The sequence below is a fragment of the Homo sapiens genome, chromosome 22 (assembly GCF_000001405.40).
Source record: "Homo sapiens chromosome 22, GRCh38.p14 Primary Assembly".
Classification (NCBI taxonomy): Eukaryota; Metazoa; Chordata; class Mammalia; order Primates; family Hominidae; genus Homo; species Homo sapiens.
This window is the reverse complement of record NC_000022.11, coordinates 29,980,707-30,002,586: the sequence shown is the minus strand read 5'-3', so window position 1 is coordinate 30,002,586 and position 21,880 is coordinate 29,980,707. Positions and strand designations below refer to the sequence as shown.

Below are 21,880 nucleotides of genomic sequence, written 5' to 3'. Positions count from 1 at the left end.
TTAACTATCAATGAAAAAAAGGGGAGTCGAGGGTCAGCTCTTTATACTCCATTACAACTCTTCTGCTGTAACAAGTACATAGGTTATTTCTAACTACATGAGCGCCCAGTCCAATTACAGAACTGAGAGTCCGTGTCAGTTCTACCAGACCCTCAGGGAAGGAAAAAAGCCCACAATTGCAAGTTTCCAGAGACTTCACAGGATTAACTCATTCTTTGATTTGAACCAAACAGGGTGTCATCCTTATAGGTAACAGGTGCAGCCATGGGTATGCAAAACCAACACAAGCCAGTCTATCTGCATACACAGCCTCAGTCCCATTGAACCAGGTTAGTAATGTGACTAAGCTATTAACCATAATTTCCATAAAACATACTTCAGAACAAATTATACTGGGGGCGGGGGGATAAGCTTTCTTTTAATTAGGGAAGATCCCAGCTACAGTCAAGCCGGTATCCTAGGAAGCAATACTTCCGATAGATTTTTACTTACAGGACAATGTCTCTCTCTGGATAATCCAATCTTCTTTTTTCAATAGTGAAGGCAATAAGGCCTTTAATCCAAATCCTAAAACACACAAACTCCACCAACACCACCAACCCCCTGCCCTAGCCTATCCTATACATAGCAGAAAGCGCAGAAAAACACAAAATGGCTTAGGATTTGGGGGTTTTGATCATTTTGCACTAAATCTCTCCTCAATTTCCAGAAGAGGAGACTTCTGGAATTTTCAGGAATTTAAAAGCCACTGAACAAAAGAGAATGGCTATGACTAAGAGTAGCTATACAAACTTCCTAACACCTATTCACAAACTCCTAAAAATAAGCTGGGAGCCAGTAATGATGGTTAATATCTAACCATGAATCTCATTCCCTTTATTATGTATTAAACTCAAGAGTAAACTTGGCTCTCACTCTTCTACCTTTGTAGTAGGAAGAACTTTCAACATCCTGTTGTTTCCCACCACCCCCCATTTTGTTTTATGGTGGTGATAACATCCTAAAGACTGGTTCTGAGGTATAACTGGTAAACTCCTTGAGACAGTTGTTCTGTTACCCGGGCTAGAGAGCAGTGGAGCGGTCATGGCTCACAGCAGCCTCGACCTCCTGGGCTCAAACAACTCTTCTACTTCAGCCTCCCCAGTAGCTGGGACTACAGGCATGCACCACCATGCCCAACTAATTTTTTTTTCTTTGAGATGGAGTCTCGCTCTGTCGCCCAGGCTGGAATGCAGTGGCATGATCTCGGTTCATTGCAAGCTCCACCTCCCGGGTTCACGCCATTCTCCTGCCTCAGTCTCCTGAGTAGCTGGGACTACAGGCGCCCGCCACCACGCTGGCTAATTTTTTTGTATTTTTAGTAGAGACGGGGTTTCACTGTGTTAGCCAGGATGGTCTCGATCTCCTGAGCTCGTGATCCACCCGCCTCGGCCTCCCAAAGTGCTGGGATTAGAGGAATGAGCCACCATGCCTGGCCAAATTTTTAAGAAATTTTCTGTAGAGATGAGGTCTCACTATGTTGCCCAGCCTAGTCTCAAACTCCTGGGCTTAATCAATCCTCTATCTTGGCCTCTCAAGAAGTTAATTTTTAAAAGCCGAATTGGGGATTATTTTCCAACAAGTCTGTCTTAATTCACAGTTTTTTTTTACTTGATCTAATTTTCTAAACATTCTGTTCATTGTCCTATAGGTACTACACTCCCAGTAGTCAGCTCTTCAGTATGCACTACCTACTCACTTGTGGATAAACAATTTCCAGTATAGGTTACACTCAGGAAAGCCTAATGCAGCCACAGGCTCTCTGAGGCCGCCCCCTCATCCAGCATTCACCCTCCTTCTTTGCTTTGACTCATCACTGAGAACAGGCAAAAGTATAAAAAGTCTGCAGCTCCAACTCTTCAAAACACCCTGGGTTCTCAACTCCCTGGAGAAGGTCCACATTAAGAACTGTGTATAGCAATTAGCTATAGCTTTTCCAGTGAAAACTCTGACGGCTAGCCACAAACAGACCAGGAAAATGCCCGTCATAATTTGAGACAGCTAAGAGGACCGCAGAATGATTAATGATGCAGGGAAACGTAGGAGAAGGATATATATATTTTTTTTTTTTATTTTTTTTATTTTTTAAGACAAAGTCTCGCTCGGTTGCCCAGGCTGGAGTGCAGTGGCACAATCTCAGCTCACTGCAAGCTCCGCTTCCCAGGTTCATGCCATTCTCCCGCCTCAGCCTCCCCAGTAGCTGGGACTACAGCCACCTGCAACCATGCCCGGGTAATTTTTTGTATTTTTAGTAGAGACGGGGTTTCACCGTGTTAGCCAGGATGGTCTCGATCTCCTGACCTCATGATCCTCCTGCCTCAGCCTCCCAAAGTGCTGGGATTACAGGCGTGAGCCACCGCGCCTGGCCAAGAAGGATATAGTTAAAGATTTAAGATATTTAACTATCATGGACAATTTTGTTTTATAGAAATTTGGATCACCAAAATCATAGTAGTTAACTGTCCTCCCCCACCAACGCACTTACACATTTTAAGGAACTGGGTAATGGCTAAATGGTTACATTAATTTTTTTTTTGCGACAGAGTCTCACTCTATCACCCAGGTTGGAATATAGTGGTGCAATCTCAGCTCACTACAACCTCCACCTCCCAGGTTCAAGCAATTCTCCTGCCTCAGCCTCCCAAGTTGCTGGGACTACAGGCATGCACCACCACGCCCAGCTAATTTTTGTATTTTTAGTAGAGACAGTGTTTCGCCATGTTGGCTGGGCTGGTCTCGAACTCCTGACCTCAGCTGATCTGCCTTGGCCTCCCAAAGTGCTGGGATTGCAGGTGTGAGCCACCATGTCCAGCCAAATAAAGGTTACATTAATATTTAATGGTTAAATGATCATAGCAGTGAAGTTGGTTTTAGATCAATATATTAAAGGACAGAATAATACAGACTGAGCATCTTTAATCCAAAAATCTGAAATGCTCCAAAATCCAAAACTTTGAGTGCTGACATAATGCCACAAGTGGAAAATTCTACACTTGACCTCATGTGATGGGTCACAGTCAAGTCACAGTCAAAACTTTTCGTAAAAAACATCATGCATGAAATTATTTAAAATATTGTACAAAATTACCTTCCAGCTGTATAATGTGTATATGAGACAAATAATTTTGTGTTTAGACTTGGGTCCCAGGCCCAAGATAATCTCATTATGTTCATGCAAATATTCCAAAACCTGAAAAAAATCCAAAATCTGAAATATTTACAGTCCCAAGAATTTCAGATAAGGGATACTCAACTGTACTTATGTCTATTTCACACCACCTGGAGTAAAATTACAGTCATAAAAACTAGTTCATAAATGTTCTGTCACTGCTTATGAGACCACTGATCCTCTCTCTAATGTGATGCCAAGTGGTGATGAGAAAAATGGTAACTGCCTGCCTACAGGCAAATACAATATTATTTAGACATGCATGTACCAGAAAAAACAGAGGCCTAGAGGGGGTAAAAGGGAAGGTTCTAGGATCCTGTTAAGTAAGGATCACTTTCCACTCCAATGATAGCAACGGGAACAGAAGATTCAATAAATACTCTGAAGATCATGCCTTTAGATTTAATAAATAAAACCATTTCAAATAAAAAGTCTAAGTTCAAATGTTCTGCCACATGAGAATTGCGGTTTCTGCAAAGGCACTGGCTGTGAAACAGTCCACAGGGACCCATATAACTCACTTGTACTTCTCATTGATGTTGGAAATCCTCCAGGCGTTGTTCATATCAAAACCCATCCTCTCCACCTCGTTTTTAAACCTTGAAGTTACATGCTCCCCTAGAGGCCAAAGATAAACAGCAGAAAGGAAGAAATGAATACCATTTTGCAAAACAGGTGGAATAAAAACAAAGAAATATACATATGTTACATATATGTAAATATATATATATTTTTTGAGACAGGATTCCACTCTGTCACATAGGCCGGAGTGCAGTGGTGTGATCTCAGCTCACTGAAACTTCCGCCTCCCAGGTTCAAGTGATTCTTGTGCCTCAGCCACCCAAATAGCTGGGATTACAGGTGCATGCCACCATGACTGGCTAATTTTTGCACTTTCAGTAGAGATGGGGTTTTACCACATGGGCCAGGCTGGTCTCGAACTCCTGGCCTCATGTGATCTGCCCGCCTCGGCCTCCCAAAGTGCTGGGATTACAGGCGTGAGCCACTGCGCCCAGCCTGTGTATTTTTAAAGGTAAGAATTGTATAAATAATAAAGTAACATATATTATATAGTTTTAGTTTAGAAAGATCCCTGTCAGGTTAAGATTATAAAGAGGAAAGAAATTAATTCTGATCAAGAGTTATGTTATCTCATCTAACCCTTACAATCATCTCTGAGAACAGTATCACTGAGCTCATTTTACAAAGGACAAAATTAAAACAGGTTATTATGGCAGGCCTGTCTGGCCCCAGAAGCCATGCTCTTGTCCTACACTGGCTACTTGCCTACTTCCACACTCAGACTGACAGTACACTTAATAAGAAATAAAATCAATAACAAGATCACCACGAGTAGCAATACAGAACTATAATTCCTCATCCAAAACCCTTTGGTCCAAATTTTAGAACTTGAGAGTTTTCCAAACTTTCGTTAAGGTAAGACAGCGAATATAATATTAGGCTCACATGCTTAACAAGATCTCCTTAAACAAATATTAATATTTCTTTCGTGAAAGGTATAGATCATTCATACCAGGTGGGATAAATAAAGCAACAAATAGCCTCATGTCAGCTCAGATCAGGTCCAGCCAAGACACCAAATAGGGTATGAAAAACATTCTGGTTTCCAGAGCCTTTTAGATGATGGCAGGTTAACAGGTCATGGAATCATAACTGCCAGCCAGGAATCTCAGGAAACACCATACTACTAAGTGCTGATTATTTGCAAGAACAGCCACCCAAGCTGGTATAATCTGGCTATATTTGCCCTAATGAATCTGGCTTTATCTTCCTTAAAAAAGCAAAACAGAGGTAGAAACGAAGCTAACATAAATTCAGTAAATCTAAAATAACTTTCTTCCTTGAAAACATACACAGTCCTAGGGCAGCATGTTATTTTAAAAAATATTAAGCAGAACCTCTAATATATAGTGGTACAGGTTGTAAAATAAGTGCTAGCAGGGCTGGAAGAAACCACAACAACAAAAGCACAAAACAGATTTCACTTTAGTGTTCAGAGTATAAAGCTTTGTTCTCCCTGGGAGAGGAGCTACAGAATAGGAAACAGCAATTACTTGGATGGAAGACAATTCTGTTAAACTACTTCCCATTTAAACTGCTTTTCTTGAGCTCAAGCTAGGTATTATACATTTCCTGAAGGAGAGCTATAAAAAGATGAGGTTGAGAGAATATGAGGTGCAAGAAGAAATAAAAACTAAATCCATCCCATTTTGGAAAAGTTTTAGAAGCAATGTAGCAGGCTTCCAAACAGGAAAAAACTATCTGAATTGGGGTGCCATCTGTCTACAAATTGCAAGGAATATTGACCATCAAGAATACTAGGCCAGACGCGGTGCCTCACACCTGTAATCCCAGCACTTTGGGAGGCTGATGCAGGCAGATTGCTTGAGCCCAGGAGTTCAAGACCAGCCTGGGCAACATCTGGTCAACCCCATGGGCAACCCCATCTCCACAAAAATGCAAAAATTAAGTTGTGGTGGTCCATGCCTATAGTCCCAGCTACTTGAGAGGCTGAGGTGGGAGGATCACCTGAACCTAGGGAAGTTGAGGCTGCAGTGAGCCATCATCACACCATTGCACTCCAGCCTGGGCAACAGAGTGAGACCCTGTCTCAAAAAAAGGGGAAAAAAACAAAACAAAACGAACAAAAAAAACAGACAAGGAGTCTTTAATTCATAATCCCAATCTAAAAGCTGCAAAACTGTGGCAAATTCCAAGTTCATTAAGAGATTTTTTCCCCCGACTCTGGGATATAGCTCCAAGTCTTTGCAAAAGCTGTAAGTATTTCATTAATGATTTATTTTTTTTGTGCTTTTCTTGAACTGTACATTAATGATCTTTTACATTAACACCTCTATCTCAGGATAAAACACATAGATACCCTTAAAGGATCTTGTGATTTAAAAATAACCACTGGCAAAATAATAACAGTAACAATCACTATCACTAGCAATTTACTTCATAGAACCATTTCCCCAAAGAAGGACTTAGAACCACCATCCAGAGCACAACATTCTGAGCTATACGCAGAAATATATACTGACTAGCAGGTATAGAAAATCTGTTATTTCGAGTTCTTTGGGAATGGGAATGAGTTTTAATTATTTTTATATCCTCTAAGGCAGTGACTTCATAAACTCTGAAACTGACCATCACAACCCACAATAAGAATTATGTTTTACAACACAATACAACAAACATGTTTTAATTTATTCAGTTTTTGAGAGACCGGGTTTTCCCTCTGTTGCCTAAGCTGGATTTGAACTCCTAAACTCAAACAATCTTCCCACCTCAGCCTCTTGAATAGCTAGGACTATAGGTAGACACTGTGCCCAGCTAATACAACATACATTATTTTTTTGAAAGCATTTCACAAAACAATACCCACTCTTAATATGTGTGTGACACAATTTGATATTTTCTATTCCATTTCTTTAAAATTAGATTTCATGACCCACTACTGGATCATAACCTATTTGAAAACCACATCATTACATACATCAGGAATTCAACCAGCTTTTGCAAATTGTGTGAGATGTTCACTCACGTTTACTTAGCCAGAAAAATAAACACAAACAGATCTATTGCTGGATTCCCCTTAAAAATCTCCATCTCAGAATTCTCAGGTCTCAATCAATTCAACATTAAATACATTGTGATATCCCAACTTTCTTTAAATACTGGGGCTATAAGGTTTTTGTTTGGCTTTATATTTCCATTTCAACCCTTCCTATCTGCCTTTGTCCCTTTTCAGCATTTAGTGTTTCTTATAATAAAAATAATACAGTCCAGCAATTTTCACTTTAGTGGAAATGAAAACTTTCTTTTTAAAAGCAATGAAGTTCCCTAACTCCCTCTATCACAAACACAGTGTCAATCAGCAATCTAAAAAATTTTCCCCCAAAAGTCTAGCTCCCTGGCTGATCCTGAGTAGTCAAGCCCACAATTACACACAGCTTAAAAGGCCTGGGACAGAAGGGACAGGCCTTTACCTGGCAGGTGAGGAAGCAGACCAATACCAGAGTCAGAGAAGGTAAGAACTACCTCTTAGCAGATTTTCAAATACGGAGAAAGGAATTATGCTTTTCTATGTACAAAGGTCACAGTAAATCCTCTAGATGCAACTTCCTGGACTGCATTCAAACCCGGAAGACAGATAAATAGGCAGCTTCACAGCAGTGTTAAGACCCAGAGTCATATGCTAGTCGTGGATAAACAAGATGGGCTTAAGGGACATTTCACATGAGAGAGGTTAGAGAGGTAGGCCTGATGCTACTAAACTGGCAGCTAAGCTGCCCAGTCATCTGTCAGGCCTCCAGATTAACACTCTAGTACAGAGCCATCACCAACAAGTCAATTGCAATGAGGAGCAGGAAGTTAAGGACATGGGAGAGAAGCTTTTAGCTTTCAGTCCACTTTTTTAGAGTTTGAGGGGCTAAGAGAAGGGTCAAGAATTTGGCAAAGGCTTCTGCAGGTTTCACAGGTAAACTCCAACAGCAATGTTGAAACTTCTTCCAAAGCTGATTAAGCCTTAGAGCTGTGACCACAGTACAGCCGGCTTAACTATGACCGGTTCAACAGCCAGAAACTAAGATTTATATGAATACTAAGACAATTATGTAATTTTCTCATTTCTCTCCTCTCTGATACATTCTACTTCTAGCAGGCTAGGTAGAGAAGACTCCATAAAAGGCTTTATTAACTGCTATAAGATTAAACTAACTTCCACCCCTCAGAGTCTACACTTGTGATATCATGTACTGGGGCAGATTATAAAAAGGCATGACTTTGAAATATCCCAAGTGTTGTCTCATCCTAAAGATGACTTATAAGTATGTGGTTGTCTGGTATGCTAATATTTGATGAGTAATGCTATATACACCGCCACTGCTCAACAACATGAGGTAATGACAAAAGAAACAGGTTGACTGGATGTCCTCGAGGTGTTTTTTTTTTTTTTTTTTTGGTTTGTTTTTAATTAAAACCAAGTTTTTCCTTTGTACTCCACAGCGAATATACATAAAAGGCAAAAGCCATACATACACATACATTCAACCAAGTCACTGAAATACAAGATTCCATGCTGAGTGGTGGCAGGTTAACATCAATGTGGACTGTGTATACTGGGAAGAAACAAAATGCAACCCTTACTCATAATCTCTAGCCAAACAGTTATGATTGCATTACCTTGTAGTTGCATAATTTCCAAAGTGTTTTCATAAGCATGGCACATAGGGGGCACTTAAACATTTACTGAATTGAACTCTGCAGCATTAACAGATTTGATCTTCAGGATACCTGGATCAGCCTGGGCAGGAAGAGCATGAATGTCCCACTTTAAAGCACAAAGGAAACTAAAGCACAGAGAGCATAAATTCTTTGCCCAGTGTTCTTTTTTTCAACTAAATCGTAGAATACGCATTTAAATTCAGGTTTCCTAATTCCTAAGTCAGTACTTTACCCCTCACATGCCCTTGCATCACAAACCTACGAAAAGACAGAGAACACTGTAGATATCTTTATGTCCTGATGGCCAAAGAATACCAGATATCATCAGGAAGGGGAAGGGTCTGGGGACCAAAGTCATCCCACCTCAGGGCAGAGCCACCCATAATTAAAAGACTAGACTGAGGTACCTCTCAGGAATATCCTAAGAGTTTGCTGAAATCTAAAAGAAACTCAAATTATCAAGGGACTAAAAAAGCTCTCCTAAAAAGATAAGGACTTTTCAGTCTGTGGTTGTGAGAGAACAGGATAGGAGAAAGCAAATCTTGCTGAGTAAATGCTGGCAACCCAAAATTAGGGAATACCTCTTGGAGTCAGGGGTCTTGGAGTCAGGGGTCTTAAACAAATTAAAGTTCTTATATAACATAATGCAGTAGGATGCACTCATTAAGTTCATTATCCTAGGAGATGGTAGAAACTAAAAATTTAATAAAGAAGATGCAATGGTTAAAAACTCAGAAACTGTACATGTAAGATTTGTACACATCACTGTTTGTAAACTTTCTCTTTAAGAAAAACCCCCAAATTTGAAAAGAGCCATAAAAAATGAAAAAATGTATTTAAAATGTGATGGCATTTCAATAAAGAAAAAAAATAGATGTAACAATCGGAGTGAAGTGAGAGACAGTTTAAGCACATTCTCATAAACTTCCAAGGTTGGTGTGGTCTCTCGTAGGTGACAGGATTCTGCTAGCCTGGACACGCCTGTGAGAAGCTGGGATTCTGAGGCTTTCCCTGAGGCTCCAAGAGGGCAGGTGCTTTTGTTTTTCAAACTCTGTATCCACAGCATCCACCATGGTCAGGTCTGAATAACTGAGAACTGGTTTTAAGTCCTAGTTCTGTCGTCAGTGACTAGCACTGGGACTTGACAACAGGCTTTTTACCTCTGAGCCTCCATTTCTTTGGCTCCCAAAACAGACACCAACCTATCTTGCCTGTTTGACAAGGTCATGAGGATCAAACAAAAGTATTTATCAAAGCATTGTTAAACATAAGATAATGCTAATGCTACAAGCATTTTAATAGAACAAGAATGTGAACCAAAAGCTTCAATTAGTCATGGGGCCAGAGAACAAAGTAACAAAAGCATAGCAAGATTAGCCTCAAATGTTTAAAATGACCCAGGGCAGACTTATAAGATTGAAGATTCAGGATTAAAATTTCAGGTTTCTAGAAAAAAGTCCCAAGAGTAAACTTTACTTGAAGGAGGCTTACAACTTTTCACTGCACAGAAATTTAAGACTTCACTTTGAAACCTGACACACTAAAAGTCAGTGTTGGACCAGCAAAGTTTTATGACCACATAAAGTTTACAAGAAACTACATGCAGAGAAATAACATGGTCAAAGCCATTTCTGACGGAGAATGACAGTGAGGGGGACAAAGACTATAGAGGAGTCAGGAAGCCTGGGTTCCAGAACAGGCTCAGCATCTCTTTTTGGTTTTTTTGGGGGGGAGGGGGTCACATGTTAAAACCTATAATCTAGGCCAGGAGCTGTGGCTCACGCCTATAAATCCAAGCACTCCGGGTGGCCAAGGCGGGCGTATCACCTGAGACCAGCCTGACCAACATGGAGAAACCCCGTCTCTACTAAAAATAAAAAATTAGCCGGGCATGGTGGCGCATGCCTGTAATCCCAGCTACACAGGAGGCTGAGGCAGGGGAATTGCTTGAACCCAAGAGGCGGAGGTTGCAGTGGTCCGAGATTGAGCCATTGCACTCCAGCCTGGGCAACAAGAGCGAAACTCCGTCTCAAAAAAAACAAAAAACAAACCCCACTATCTATTTGTTCTTGATAGGAACCTGGCCTCTCACCAATTAACTCCTATTCAACTTTCAAAGCTGATTCAAAAGCCACTTTAAATGTGAAGTCTTCCCACACATGTATACAAAACTCATGGCTCCTTTCTATCAGGCTTCCATACTATTCATAAAACCTTATTATAGTTGAGCTGTTTTTAGGCCCAATAGATTGTGATGCCTTCTAGTGTTCTTCCCTTCCCCGGAAGGCAGAAAAGATGTTCTATTAAGCTTAAAAGAATGCTGCGCACTTGCTGGGTGCTCCTTAAAATATACACTGATTGATATATGAATGCTTAGGTGTCCCATTTCATGTTAAAAGTACCTCCATCAGTAGCTTGATAAAGCCCCTGGCCATTTGCACATTTCAGAAAGGCGTACCTGGTCTGCACAGGTCTCCATGTTGCTCTTTTTCACTGGCATAGACCTCCATGCACCAAGCATGGTATGCAAATGAGAAGAGATCTTCTATTTTAGCAGGTGGTCGGATTGCGTTGTTCAGTCTCTTCAGCCACTCTTGACACTGCTCAAAGGTTGAAAACTGACACCTTTTGTAAAGCCAAACAAGTATGGATGTAATCAGAAGACAGTTGAAATGAAATGTAAGAAAAGCCATTATTTCAAGAATGCCCACTCGTAGTGAAGTGGGAACTACAACCAAGAAAGCATCTGAGGCAGTCAGTCATTCGCATGCTCATTATCACTTATAAGAAAAACAAATGTTAGCCAATGGAACAAAATGTCCAAAAGGAGGAAGCTGACCATTGGAAAACCTATTTTTTTAGACTAATGAAATCTCTTCTAAGATTAATGACAATTATTACAGAAAAATGGCAGCTATTCTCTTTCATGAGTGGAGTTTCATTCTACTTCTTCCATCGAAGTTTTATGGTTGTCCCTCATAAAAAATATGTTTAGAAAAATCTTTGTTTTGTAGTAACATATTAGATCAAGTTTAAAAAAAAACAGCATTATTTTTAGCCAGTTAGGTAGTAATTTCAATATTTAGCTATTAGGACAAATCAGATCCAAAAGACAGATTGCACTGAAACTTTCAGCTATGACCATGTAGAGAACAAAACAATTCTATTGTCAACTGCGATTTTCAGTATATACAACTAAGAAGTTAAAATAATTAGTGAAAACTAATTTATTAAAGATATGTTTAGGCTGAGTGCAGTGGCTCATGCCTGTAATCCCAGCACTTTGGGAGGCCAAGACGGGCAGATCACTGGAGGTCAGGAGTTCAAGACCAGCCTGGCCAACATGGCAAAACTCCCGTCTCTGATAAACATACAAAAATATTAGCCAGGTGTGGTGGCGTGCACCTGTAATCCCAGCTTCTCAGAAGGCTGAGGCACGAGAATCACTTGAAACAGGGAGGTACGGGTTGCAGTGAGCCAAGATCACACCACTGCACTCCAGCCTGGGCAACAGAGTGAGGCTCTGTCTCAAGAAAATAAATAAATAAAAATAAAGATTTGTTTAAATATTTGGCCTTTTTGAATGCAATGTTAAAAACTGACTAATTAATAAGCAACTACCTTCTTAAACTGTGAGTTGTAGCCAGTATCTATCAAAAATAAGCCAAATCTCACTGACTAAAAAGCAATATAAATATCTATCTTAAAACCAAGGGGTCACTTAAACCTCTCTCTCATCCCAATCATGGTGGCTCATCAGTATGCCAACACATAATATTTACTGACACCCCAGAAGAGGTCAGAGGAATGCAGTAAAAACTTGTGGAATTTAAGACCTCTAGAGCTATTAAATTTAAAAATGCATTTCAGGCATCGTTGTTGGTTTTTGGTTTTTCAGATGGAGTCTTGTTCTGTCACCCAGGCTGGAGTACAGTGGCGTGATCTCAGCTCACTGCAACCTCTTGCCTCCCAGGCTCAAGCAATTCTTCCGCCTCAGACTCCCAAGTAGCTGGGACTACAGGCGTGCACCACCACACCCAGCTAATTTTCGTATTTTTAGTAGAGATGGGGATTTGCCATGTTGGCCAGGCTGGTCTCAAACTCCTGACCTCAAGTGATCCACCCCCACCTCGGCCTGCCAAAGTGCTAGGATTACAGGCGTGAGCCACCACACCCAGCCTGCAACCATTATAGTTAAGCGCAGATACAAATCATCAATGAATGCTAAACTTATGGAGAAATTTTTATGAGAAGCAGGGACATTTGCATTGTTTCAAAGTGCCTCCCCCAGACTGTTTTTAGTTGCAAGAGAGAAAACGCAGAAATTATACAGAAGCCAGGTGACATCTCGACTGGAATAATCAAAATTAACATCACCAATGAAGGACATGTGGACACTGTACTTCCAGATGTAATACAATACCCTGAAAAGGATGTGACATCATATATACAGTATTCCAGTTGAGAAAATAGAACCTCAATTTAATTGAGGAAATACTGGACAAACACAACATGAGAAGTATTCCATTAAAACAAAAGATTGTATTCTGCAAAATGTGAATGTCATAAAAGAAAATAAGGCTGTAGAAAATGTTCCAGATTGGCCGGGTATGGTGGTTCATGCCTGTAATCCCAGCACTTTGGGAAGCCGAGACGGGCAGATCACGAGGTCAGAGTTCAAGACCAGCCTGACCAACATGGTGAAACCCCATCTCTACTAAAAATACAAAAAATTAGCCGGGTGTGGTGGCACACACCTGTAACCCCAGCTACTCAGGAGGCTGAGGCAGGAGAATCGCTTGAACCCAGGAGGCAGAAGTTGCAGTGCGCTGAGATCGTGCTACTGCACTCCAGCCTGGGCAACAGAGCAAGACTCTGTCTCAAAAATCAAACAAACAAAAACAAAAAGAAAATGTTCCAGATTAAAGAAGGCTACAGAGTCATGGCAGCTAAATGCAATATATGACCTAGACTGGATCCTGTACTGAATGAGATGGAGGTGAGGGAGAATGCTATAAAAAAGTATCAATAGGTCATTAGGTGAACTGACAAAATTGGAACATGTATAGTAGACTGGATGTAAGTATTATCAATGTAAAATTGAAAATTGATAATGTTATGGTTATGTAAGAAAATATCCCTATTCTTAGGAAAGCACACTAAAGTATTTTGGGGTTAAGAGCCATGATTACGTAACTTACTCTCAATCTGTTCAGGAAAAGAAACACACACACACATACACACACGCCTCTGCAAATAATAAAGCAAATGGTAAAATGTTAACAAGTGAATCTGGGTGAATGGTGTACTGATGTTCTTTTTAGTATTTTTATTTTTGCCCTTTTGTAAATTTAAAATTATTTCCAAATTAAAAAAAAAAAACATCTTTCAACATAGCAAAGTATACATCCTACAGATAAAATATTTCAGGCACAAACTACTCAGAAAATATTCCTAATGAGGCTAATCATCAAAAGGTATTTTACTAAGTTACCAAATAATGGACCCATTCTTTAAAAAATATTTTCCACACTAAACAGCAACACAAACATACCATACCACATACCTGATAACTTTGCAGTCTTTGCAAGTCAAATGAAGCTGAAATATATCTCGGCATTCAACACTTTCTATAAGCTGTAATGGAACCTGCAATTTTAAAAAAATGAAGTCCTCTTAGTCAAAAAGGCATTGACCCTGGAGTTCTTCAATGTGTCCAACAAGACTAATTAAAAAGATCTATAAGGGAAAGCAACAAAAATAGAACTGCAAACTTATCTGGATCAACAGTACTCAAGTGATTTACTACAAAGTGAATTAGGACTTCCCTTTATCTCTAAATCAGTGGTCTCAAGTCATGTCATAGCATGAAGGCAACAAAGAGGTGGCACCACCTTTGGAAGAAGGGGAGAATATATCTCTCAGGCACCGAATTCACAAGATCAGAGTACTACTTTTAGATGCTATAACTGACTATGATTTGCAATGATGCAATGACATAGAAGCTGAAGGGAGCCAGAACAGTAATCTTTTCTTGCTTATAGAAAAGAACTACAGATCAGAATGCCAGTGGGAGACTATTGTTTGCCCCAAATGACAGAGTGGGCTTATGGCTTAGTGTCAGCCAATGAGGCTCCTGAAAAAGACTAGAGTTCTAAGCTGACTGTGGATTGCACAGAAAAGACAATGGGGCAATAGCTGCTGGCCAGGCTCTCTACTAAGTAGAATAGACCCAAAAGTATCAAAAAGGAGGGAGAAGGCCATACAGTGATCAAGGATGCTAAAGCTATAATAACTATGTCAGATTTGCTTCAAAAAATCAGTTAGAAGCCCCGTTTGCCAAATGGGGCTTGAGGTTTGAACAAGCTGGAATGGTTCCCCCTTGCCAATCTGGTCTACAGACTCTACTGGACACAGGATTATGTACAACAGCAGATAGAGAGAAGGGAGACAGATAGAAGCAAAAGCATCTAGACAGGGTGCCAAATCTTCAGGATAATATGAGGATCCTCCTCCTATCCCTTAAATCATCCTAATTCAACCCTTGGCTTCAAAAAGCAATTTCTAGGCTTTCAAGGCAAACCTGGTAAAATAATAGTGAATACTTTTACTCCTTGAAAAAGGAGTGGGCCATTTGCCTCTTACAGTGTATCAAGTCTAGCCAAAATGTGGCTCTGGGAGTTGCAAATAGCATTCCAACAACTTGTGTTTAGTATGCAAAGAGGAGGACAGTCTCCTCCAATGCAGACAGGAACAAGAGTACTGTCTGCACAGGCTGGCCCTCGTGTTAGCTGAGCCAGTTTCAGGAACAAGCTTCCTGCAAACTCTGCCCCACCACAGAGCTGCCAGTCAGCACAGAACTCTCAGAATGAGGATGCAGGGATCAAAAAGAAGCCCAGTGCTGGACAAAGAAACAGAAACTGGAGCAGGGGTTAAAGAAGAGAAGAAAGCAAAATAATATTACTCAGATAAATGACTGGGAGTTTCTACCTTAGGACTAAAGTCTTCTTGCTTTTAAGTCTACAGTCTATAAAAATTCCCTTACAAATGTAATAGGACTGGGGGTCAGAAAAAGACTAAGAAATCTTGGCCGGATACGGTGGCTCACGCCTGTAATGCCAACATTTTGGGAGGCCGAGGTGGGCGGATCACCTGAGGTCAGGAGTTTGAGACCAGCCTGACCAACATGGAGAAACCCCATCTCTACTAAAAATACAAAATTATCCAGGTGCGGATAATTTTGGTGCATGCCTGTATTTTGGTGCATGCCTGTATTTGGTGCATGCCTGTATTTGGTGCATGCCTGTAATTTTGGTGCATGTCTGTAATCCCAGCTACTCCAGAGGCTGAGGCGGGAGAATCGCTTGAATCCCAGAGGCAGAGACTGCGGTAAGCTGAGATCGTGTCATTGCACACCAGCCTGGGCAACAAGAGCAAAACTCCATCTCAAAAACAAAAAAAAAAGAAAAGAAAAAAGAAAAATCTTGCCTGTGTTCTGAGAACAAAAGGAGCTTTTGGCCTTCTGTTTTTATTTACGTCCTTAACCCCAAGGTGCTGTGAGAAACTGCAACTGATGCAACTAAGAATTCTTCTGAGACCTGTGCATCTAAGAAGGAAAAAAAAAAACAAACAAACCTACAATTTATCAGAGATAAAACTATAAAGAAGAAATATTGAGATTAAGAAGACAGATTAGAAGATAACTTTGCTTTGTTCTCAGGCCAGTTCTCTGGGTAGCCTGTAACAGACACTTACTGCTTTTTATTTTGTATATACTCCTGCTAACTACCTTACTCACTATATCCCCCCAAAATGTGGCTGCCAGACTGGCAATTAAGAGCCGTGAGTTCTAATCTCAATTTTCTAAAATGTTACCAATTAAAATTTTGCTGGCTTCATTGGGCAAGCCTCCAGCCTTCCCATGTGCCATCAGCCTCTGCTTTCTGAACCTTGGTCACAACTAAGGAAATCTCAGTCATGGGGCCTGGGAAGAGTCTGGGATAGGATTAGAGTGAGCTTTACAAATCCACAAGAAGAGGCTGCTCTTGCAGCAGTCACCTGCATCCCAAGTCCCCTGCAACTGACTTTCTTTATGGACAGAAGACATGAAAACCAGCTAATGCTCTTAGCAGCTGCTGGGGGAAATGGATTAGCCTTTGCTACTTTGCTACAAAGAACAGGTAAGTTTTACATCCTTATTACTAAACCAGAGCCCAATGGCCCGTGCCCAAATTTAATATCATAAAATTATCTCAGACCATGCAAAACATTTGCTACCTAAAATTCAGGCAATATATACATATTTTTTTCTATATTTTAACATCTTAAATTGAAGAAAAAAGAATTAGAATGTTGGTTCTATGCATTGAAATCAGATTGCAGACACCAGCAAGTCACCAAAATCAACCATGTGTATTACAAGTCACAGATACGGAGAACAGCAGATTTTAATATTCATGCAGACTGTCACATGCAGGAAAGCTTAATACGCAGCAAGAATAGGGACATACAAAAGAGAAACACCTGATTTTTATAACAAATATCTCCCTTTTCTTCTCCTTTCTACTGCAGTGTTTCCCTTCAGCACTTCCTGCACAGACTGCCTTTTCTTTCTTTCTTTCTTTCTTTTGAGATGGAGTCTCGTTCTGTTGCCCAGGCTGGAGTGCAATGGCGCGATCTTGGTTCACTGCAACCTCCACCTCCCAGGTTCAAGCTATTCTCCCTGCCTCAGCTTCCTGAGTAGCAGGCACCTGTGATCCCAGCCACCACGCCCAGCTAATTTTTGTATTTTTAGTAGAGATGGGGTTTTGCCATTTGTCCAGGTTGGTATCGAACCCCTGACCTCAGGTGATCCACCCGCCTAGGCCTCCCAAAGTGCTGGAATTACAGGTGTGAGCCACTGCACCCAGTCCAGATTGCCTTTTCTAAAAGGCAGAATTGACCTTCTTTTCCTGTTCATACCTCCATCCAAAACATACTGTTTCTCTATTTTCTTAAGGCCCACTACACTGCTTTAGGTTCAAATTTCCTCACATATGAAAACAATCTCTTAACATTTCTATAACTAGAGATACCCTATATTCAACCTCAAAAGCAAATTACAGATTCAAGAGCCAGTCCACTTTACAGCCCAGGAAGGTTAAACTACTACACTATAAGCTAATATAGTAGTAAAGTCAGGACCAGGATCCATGTCTGTCCTCCAGCCTGGGCTCCTTCCACCATACACGGTGTGTCTTTCTTTCTGCCCCTACACGTGGGCTTCTCTTCCATATGAGCTCTACTTTAGTTTTTCTTTCACAAATAAGTAGCTTCTCCACCAGGGATCTTCAAGAGGAAAACAGAGTTTAAATCAAAACTCCTCAGATGCAATTCCTTTTGTAAAAGAGTAGCAAGATAAACTCACTTTCAAATCCTCTCAAACGTACTGATTCAATGTCTTGTAGCAACTCATTTTCTTTTTGCTCCTCTCTCCTCTATCTCTCCACCTGCCAGGTAACGCAATCTCACCTTACAATGCTTTTCCTAATATAAATTTCACCAAACTCATGCTCAAACAATGCATCAAACACATTCAGTGCTACAACCAATTCCTCAAAAAGCCAAGTTACATTATAGACACTAACACCCTGAAGAGCATCAATCCAAAAAAAGCAGAAGAGCAGCAGTTTAAAAATTTAACAGACATACAGACATGCACAGGTTATGTCCACAGTACTGTCACATTCCAGAGGGAACTGATGCCATCATACCCTACTATATTTACCTCATTTCATTCTGGGTGTGTGTGCATACATGTGCATTATTTTTAAACACCAGAATCTAGAGTGGGATAATTCCTACCTTTTTAAAAACAAACACCCTTTTTATAGCCTGAATGGGAAGTACTAATCTTGTACACGTGAAGTTAAAATGGCAGTAAAAGAGTAAAAATAATGAGTCTAAATCTAAAATCAGTAATAAAGTGGAATATCTGGGCACAAAAATCTTTTCATTTAAAAACTAATCAGGGCCGGGCACGACGACTCACATCTATAAACCCAGCACTTTGGTAGGCTGAGGCAGGAGGATCGCTTGAGCCCAGGAGTTCAAGACCAGCCTGGGCAACATGGTGAAACCCTGTCACTACAATAACATAACATAACATAAAAATAAAATAAATATAATAAAATAAAAATAAAATAAAATAAAAAATTGAGTGCAGTGGCTCACATCTGTAATCCCAGCACTTTGGGAGGCCAAAGTGGGTGCACTGCTTGAGCCCAGGAGTTTTGAGACCAACCTGGGCAACACAGACATCATCTCTACAAAAAATAAAATTAAATTAACTGAACGCGGTGGCATGTGTCTGTAGACCTAGCTACTCAGAAGGCTGAGGTGGGAGGATCACCTAAGCGCAGGAAGTTGAGGCTGCAGTGGGCCATGATGGCGCCAGTGCACTCCAGCCTGGGCGACAGAGCAAGACCCTGTTTCAAAAAACAACCACCAAAAACCCACTAATCAGCAGAAGACTGTCACTGGTTTAAGATTCAAACTCTATTGTTCACCTTTGACAATTTACAAGCCTCCAGCACTGCTTTCAGAGGCTCCCACTGTTATATGAATGCTAGATCAAAGTGCATTAAATGTTAACAATAACCTCCTTCGCAGCAGGGTGTGGTGGCTAACGCCTGTAGTTCCAACACTTTGGGAGGCTGAGGTGGGAGAATAACTTGAGCCCAGGAGACTAAGGCTGCAGTGAGCCGAGACTGTGCTAACGCACTCCAGCCTGGACAACAGAGTGAAACTCCGTCTCCAAAAAACAAAGTGAAAGAAAAAAAAACTAGTGTTGATTTTACAAATTATTTCTAACAGAAACTTGTTCTACATTTTTTTGAAGGTCACAATTCCATCTGCTTATGTATAAACTGCAGGGCTTTTTCCTTACCCTACAAATTGTTCTCCTAGTAGCATACAACTGGAATTTGGTCCAGTAAGAGGAAAAGGACTCATGCAGAGGGGAAACATTCTGCTGATTTGCAAGGTGAGCATCTAACACTCAAAACCAATTTGCTCCAAGCACAGGTGCAGCAACCGCCTAGGATTTTCATACTACTTACAGGGATTTTAGAAGCAGCAGATTGAGAAGCAGTCTATTAAATTACAAACACATACACACACACACACACACACACACACACACACACACACAAACAAACTTTTAAACGTTCATGAATTCCACTTGAACACTTGTTTATAATTTATCTAAGCTTCAAAGAACTATGTCTGTAAATATATAATAATTTGGGAAAAGCACAGAATAGGAGCAATGTATACCTTAAATGCTACACATAAACTCTACTACAGAGATTCTTTACCACAGGAACTGGAACTTGATATTCAGTGAATGTGTGAATTAAAGTAATGATGTTTACGGTATCAAAACCTACAGACACATTTTACTCAATGTGCTGTGAAATTAAAAGAGAATATATGATATCAGGTAGCTATTTAAAACTTGATGGTAAATCATTTTCTGAAGTGCTAAGTATTTTGATTTAAGCATACAAAATGATGAACTGGGGCATGCCACAACATATGCTGGTATGTCTGGGCTTTGATGGTTTAAATGTGTTTGATATAGATAAAATAACATTTAAAGAGAGCCTCCTGATCTAACATTTTATTGAAATACACATATTTTATTGAAATACTTATTTGCTAAGGGAAGGAAAGAGGGAGGGGCAACACCACTACCAACTGTCTGATCTCCATCCAGGACCCGATGCAGGAAGAATCCTTGTTTCCTAAGTACCTCCAGGTTTCAGGTTTCAGGAATCTCTTAGCACTAGCTGTGATGAAATTAATTTATTTTTATGGAGGAGTTCTAGTCTCTCTCAATCTGAAATTTTTTTTTTTTTTTTTTTTTTTTTTTTTTAATGAGACAGAGTCTCGCTCTGTCACCCAGGCTGGAGTGCAATGGCACGATCTCGGCTCACTGCAAGCTCCACCTCCCGGGTTCACGCCATTCTCCTGACTCAGCCTCCTGAGTAGCTGGGACTACAGGTGCCTGCCACCACGTCCGGCTAATTTTTTGTATTTTTGGTAGAGACGGGGTTTCACCGTGTTAGCCAGGATGGTCTTGCTCTCCTGACCTCGTGATCCTCCTGCCTCGGCCTCCCAAAGTGCTGGGATTACAGGCGTGAGCCACCGCGCCCGGCCTCAATCTGAAATTTTTAAAGTCACTGCAATGCCAAAATACTTTTACACCATCATTTTTCTGTACAAAGCCATTACCTTGGGTGTTTTTTTTTTTTTCCTTTTTTTTTTTGACAGAGTCTCCCTCTGTCATCCAGGCTGGAGTGCAGTGGCGTGATCTCAGCTCATTGCAACCTCCGCCTCCTGGGTTCAAGTGATTCTCCTACCTCAGCTTCCTGAGTAGCACATGCCACCATGCCCAGCTAATTTCTGTATTTTTAGTAGAGATGGGGTTTCACCATTTTGGCCAGGCTGGTTTCGAACTCACAACCTCAGGTGAACTGCCTGCCTCAGCCTCCCAAAGTGCTGAGATTACAGGCGTGCATCACTGCACCCGGCCTACCCTGGGCTTTTTAAGTAACATGTAGGCTCTATGCCTTAGAGGGTTATGATGCTAACAGAAAAAAAACACTTTCAGATTAAGAAAATTGATCAAAAGAAAGAACAGTGGCAAGTTTCCTTAAGCATTATCTCTCAATCACAATGGGGGATCAACAATTCCAGTCAACAACCTACTCACACAGCTATCCTTAGAGACAATTAAGCCACAGCCTATTCACACAGAAGTGTACTGTTTTAAAATGAGCTTTAAACACCAAAGGGGGAAAAGGTTCTAATGCCCACTTCAAACCCACATTAACTTCAATTCATTTAATATTTACTGAATATTGTGGCACCAGGAGACATGCTGGATCTTGAAGACACAAAAACAATTAACCAAAAATTACAACCTATTTGGTAAATGTTATAAAAGAATGTACAAGATAAAGACAAAGCAAAGAAAGAGTGTAGTTAACTGTCACAGAGGGAACTGGGACTAAGAAAGGCTTCACAGGAGAAGTTATCACCTGAACTGAATTTTGACAGATGAACAGAAGTTCCTGGGCCGAAAAGAGAACACAGAGGTGTGAGGTATGGCTGAATAGTACAAAGAGGCTGCTTTTACAAGTAAAAATGTGATAATGGGGAAAGGAGGGAAGCTGTGATCCTTGGTCCCTGCCACGTTGTCAGACAGCTTCATGTCATGCTAAACAATCTGATCTTCATCATAGAAGTAGTGAAGAAACACTGAAGGGCTTTAAGCTGATGAATGACATGATCAGTTTCTTTCTTTCTTTCTTTCCTGCTTGCTTTCCAGCAGACCTTATTCCCAAATAGTTCTAAAATAGTCTCTGAAACACTTGG

General features: G+C 40.6%; 1 protein-coding gene across 3 annotated transcripts in view; it reads right to left on the bottom strand.

Annotated features, from left to right (window-relative positions):
* MTMR3 (myotubularin related protein 3) overlaps positions 1-21,880 on the bottom strand; it is a 147,695-nt gene that overhangs the window by 28,282 nt on the left and 97,533 nt on the right. For all 3 annotated transcript variants that reach the window (NM_021090.4, NM_153050.3, NM_153051.3), the window contains exons 6-8: positions 14,025-14,107; positions 10,917-11,083; positions 3,730-3,826 (exon numbers count right to left, since the gene is read on the bottom strand). In NM_021090.4, the coding sequence (NP_066576.1) occupies positions 3,730-3,826; positions 10,917-11,083; positions 14,025-14,107 (347 nt within the window). The remainder of the gene's footprint in view (positions 1-3,729; positions 3,827-10,916; positions 11,084-14,024; positions 14,108-21,880) is intronic.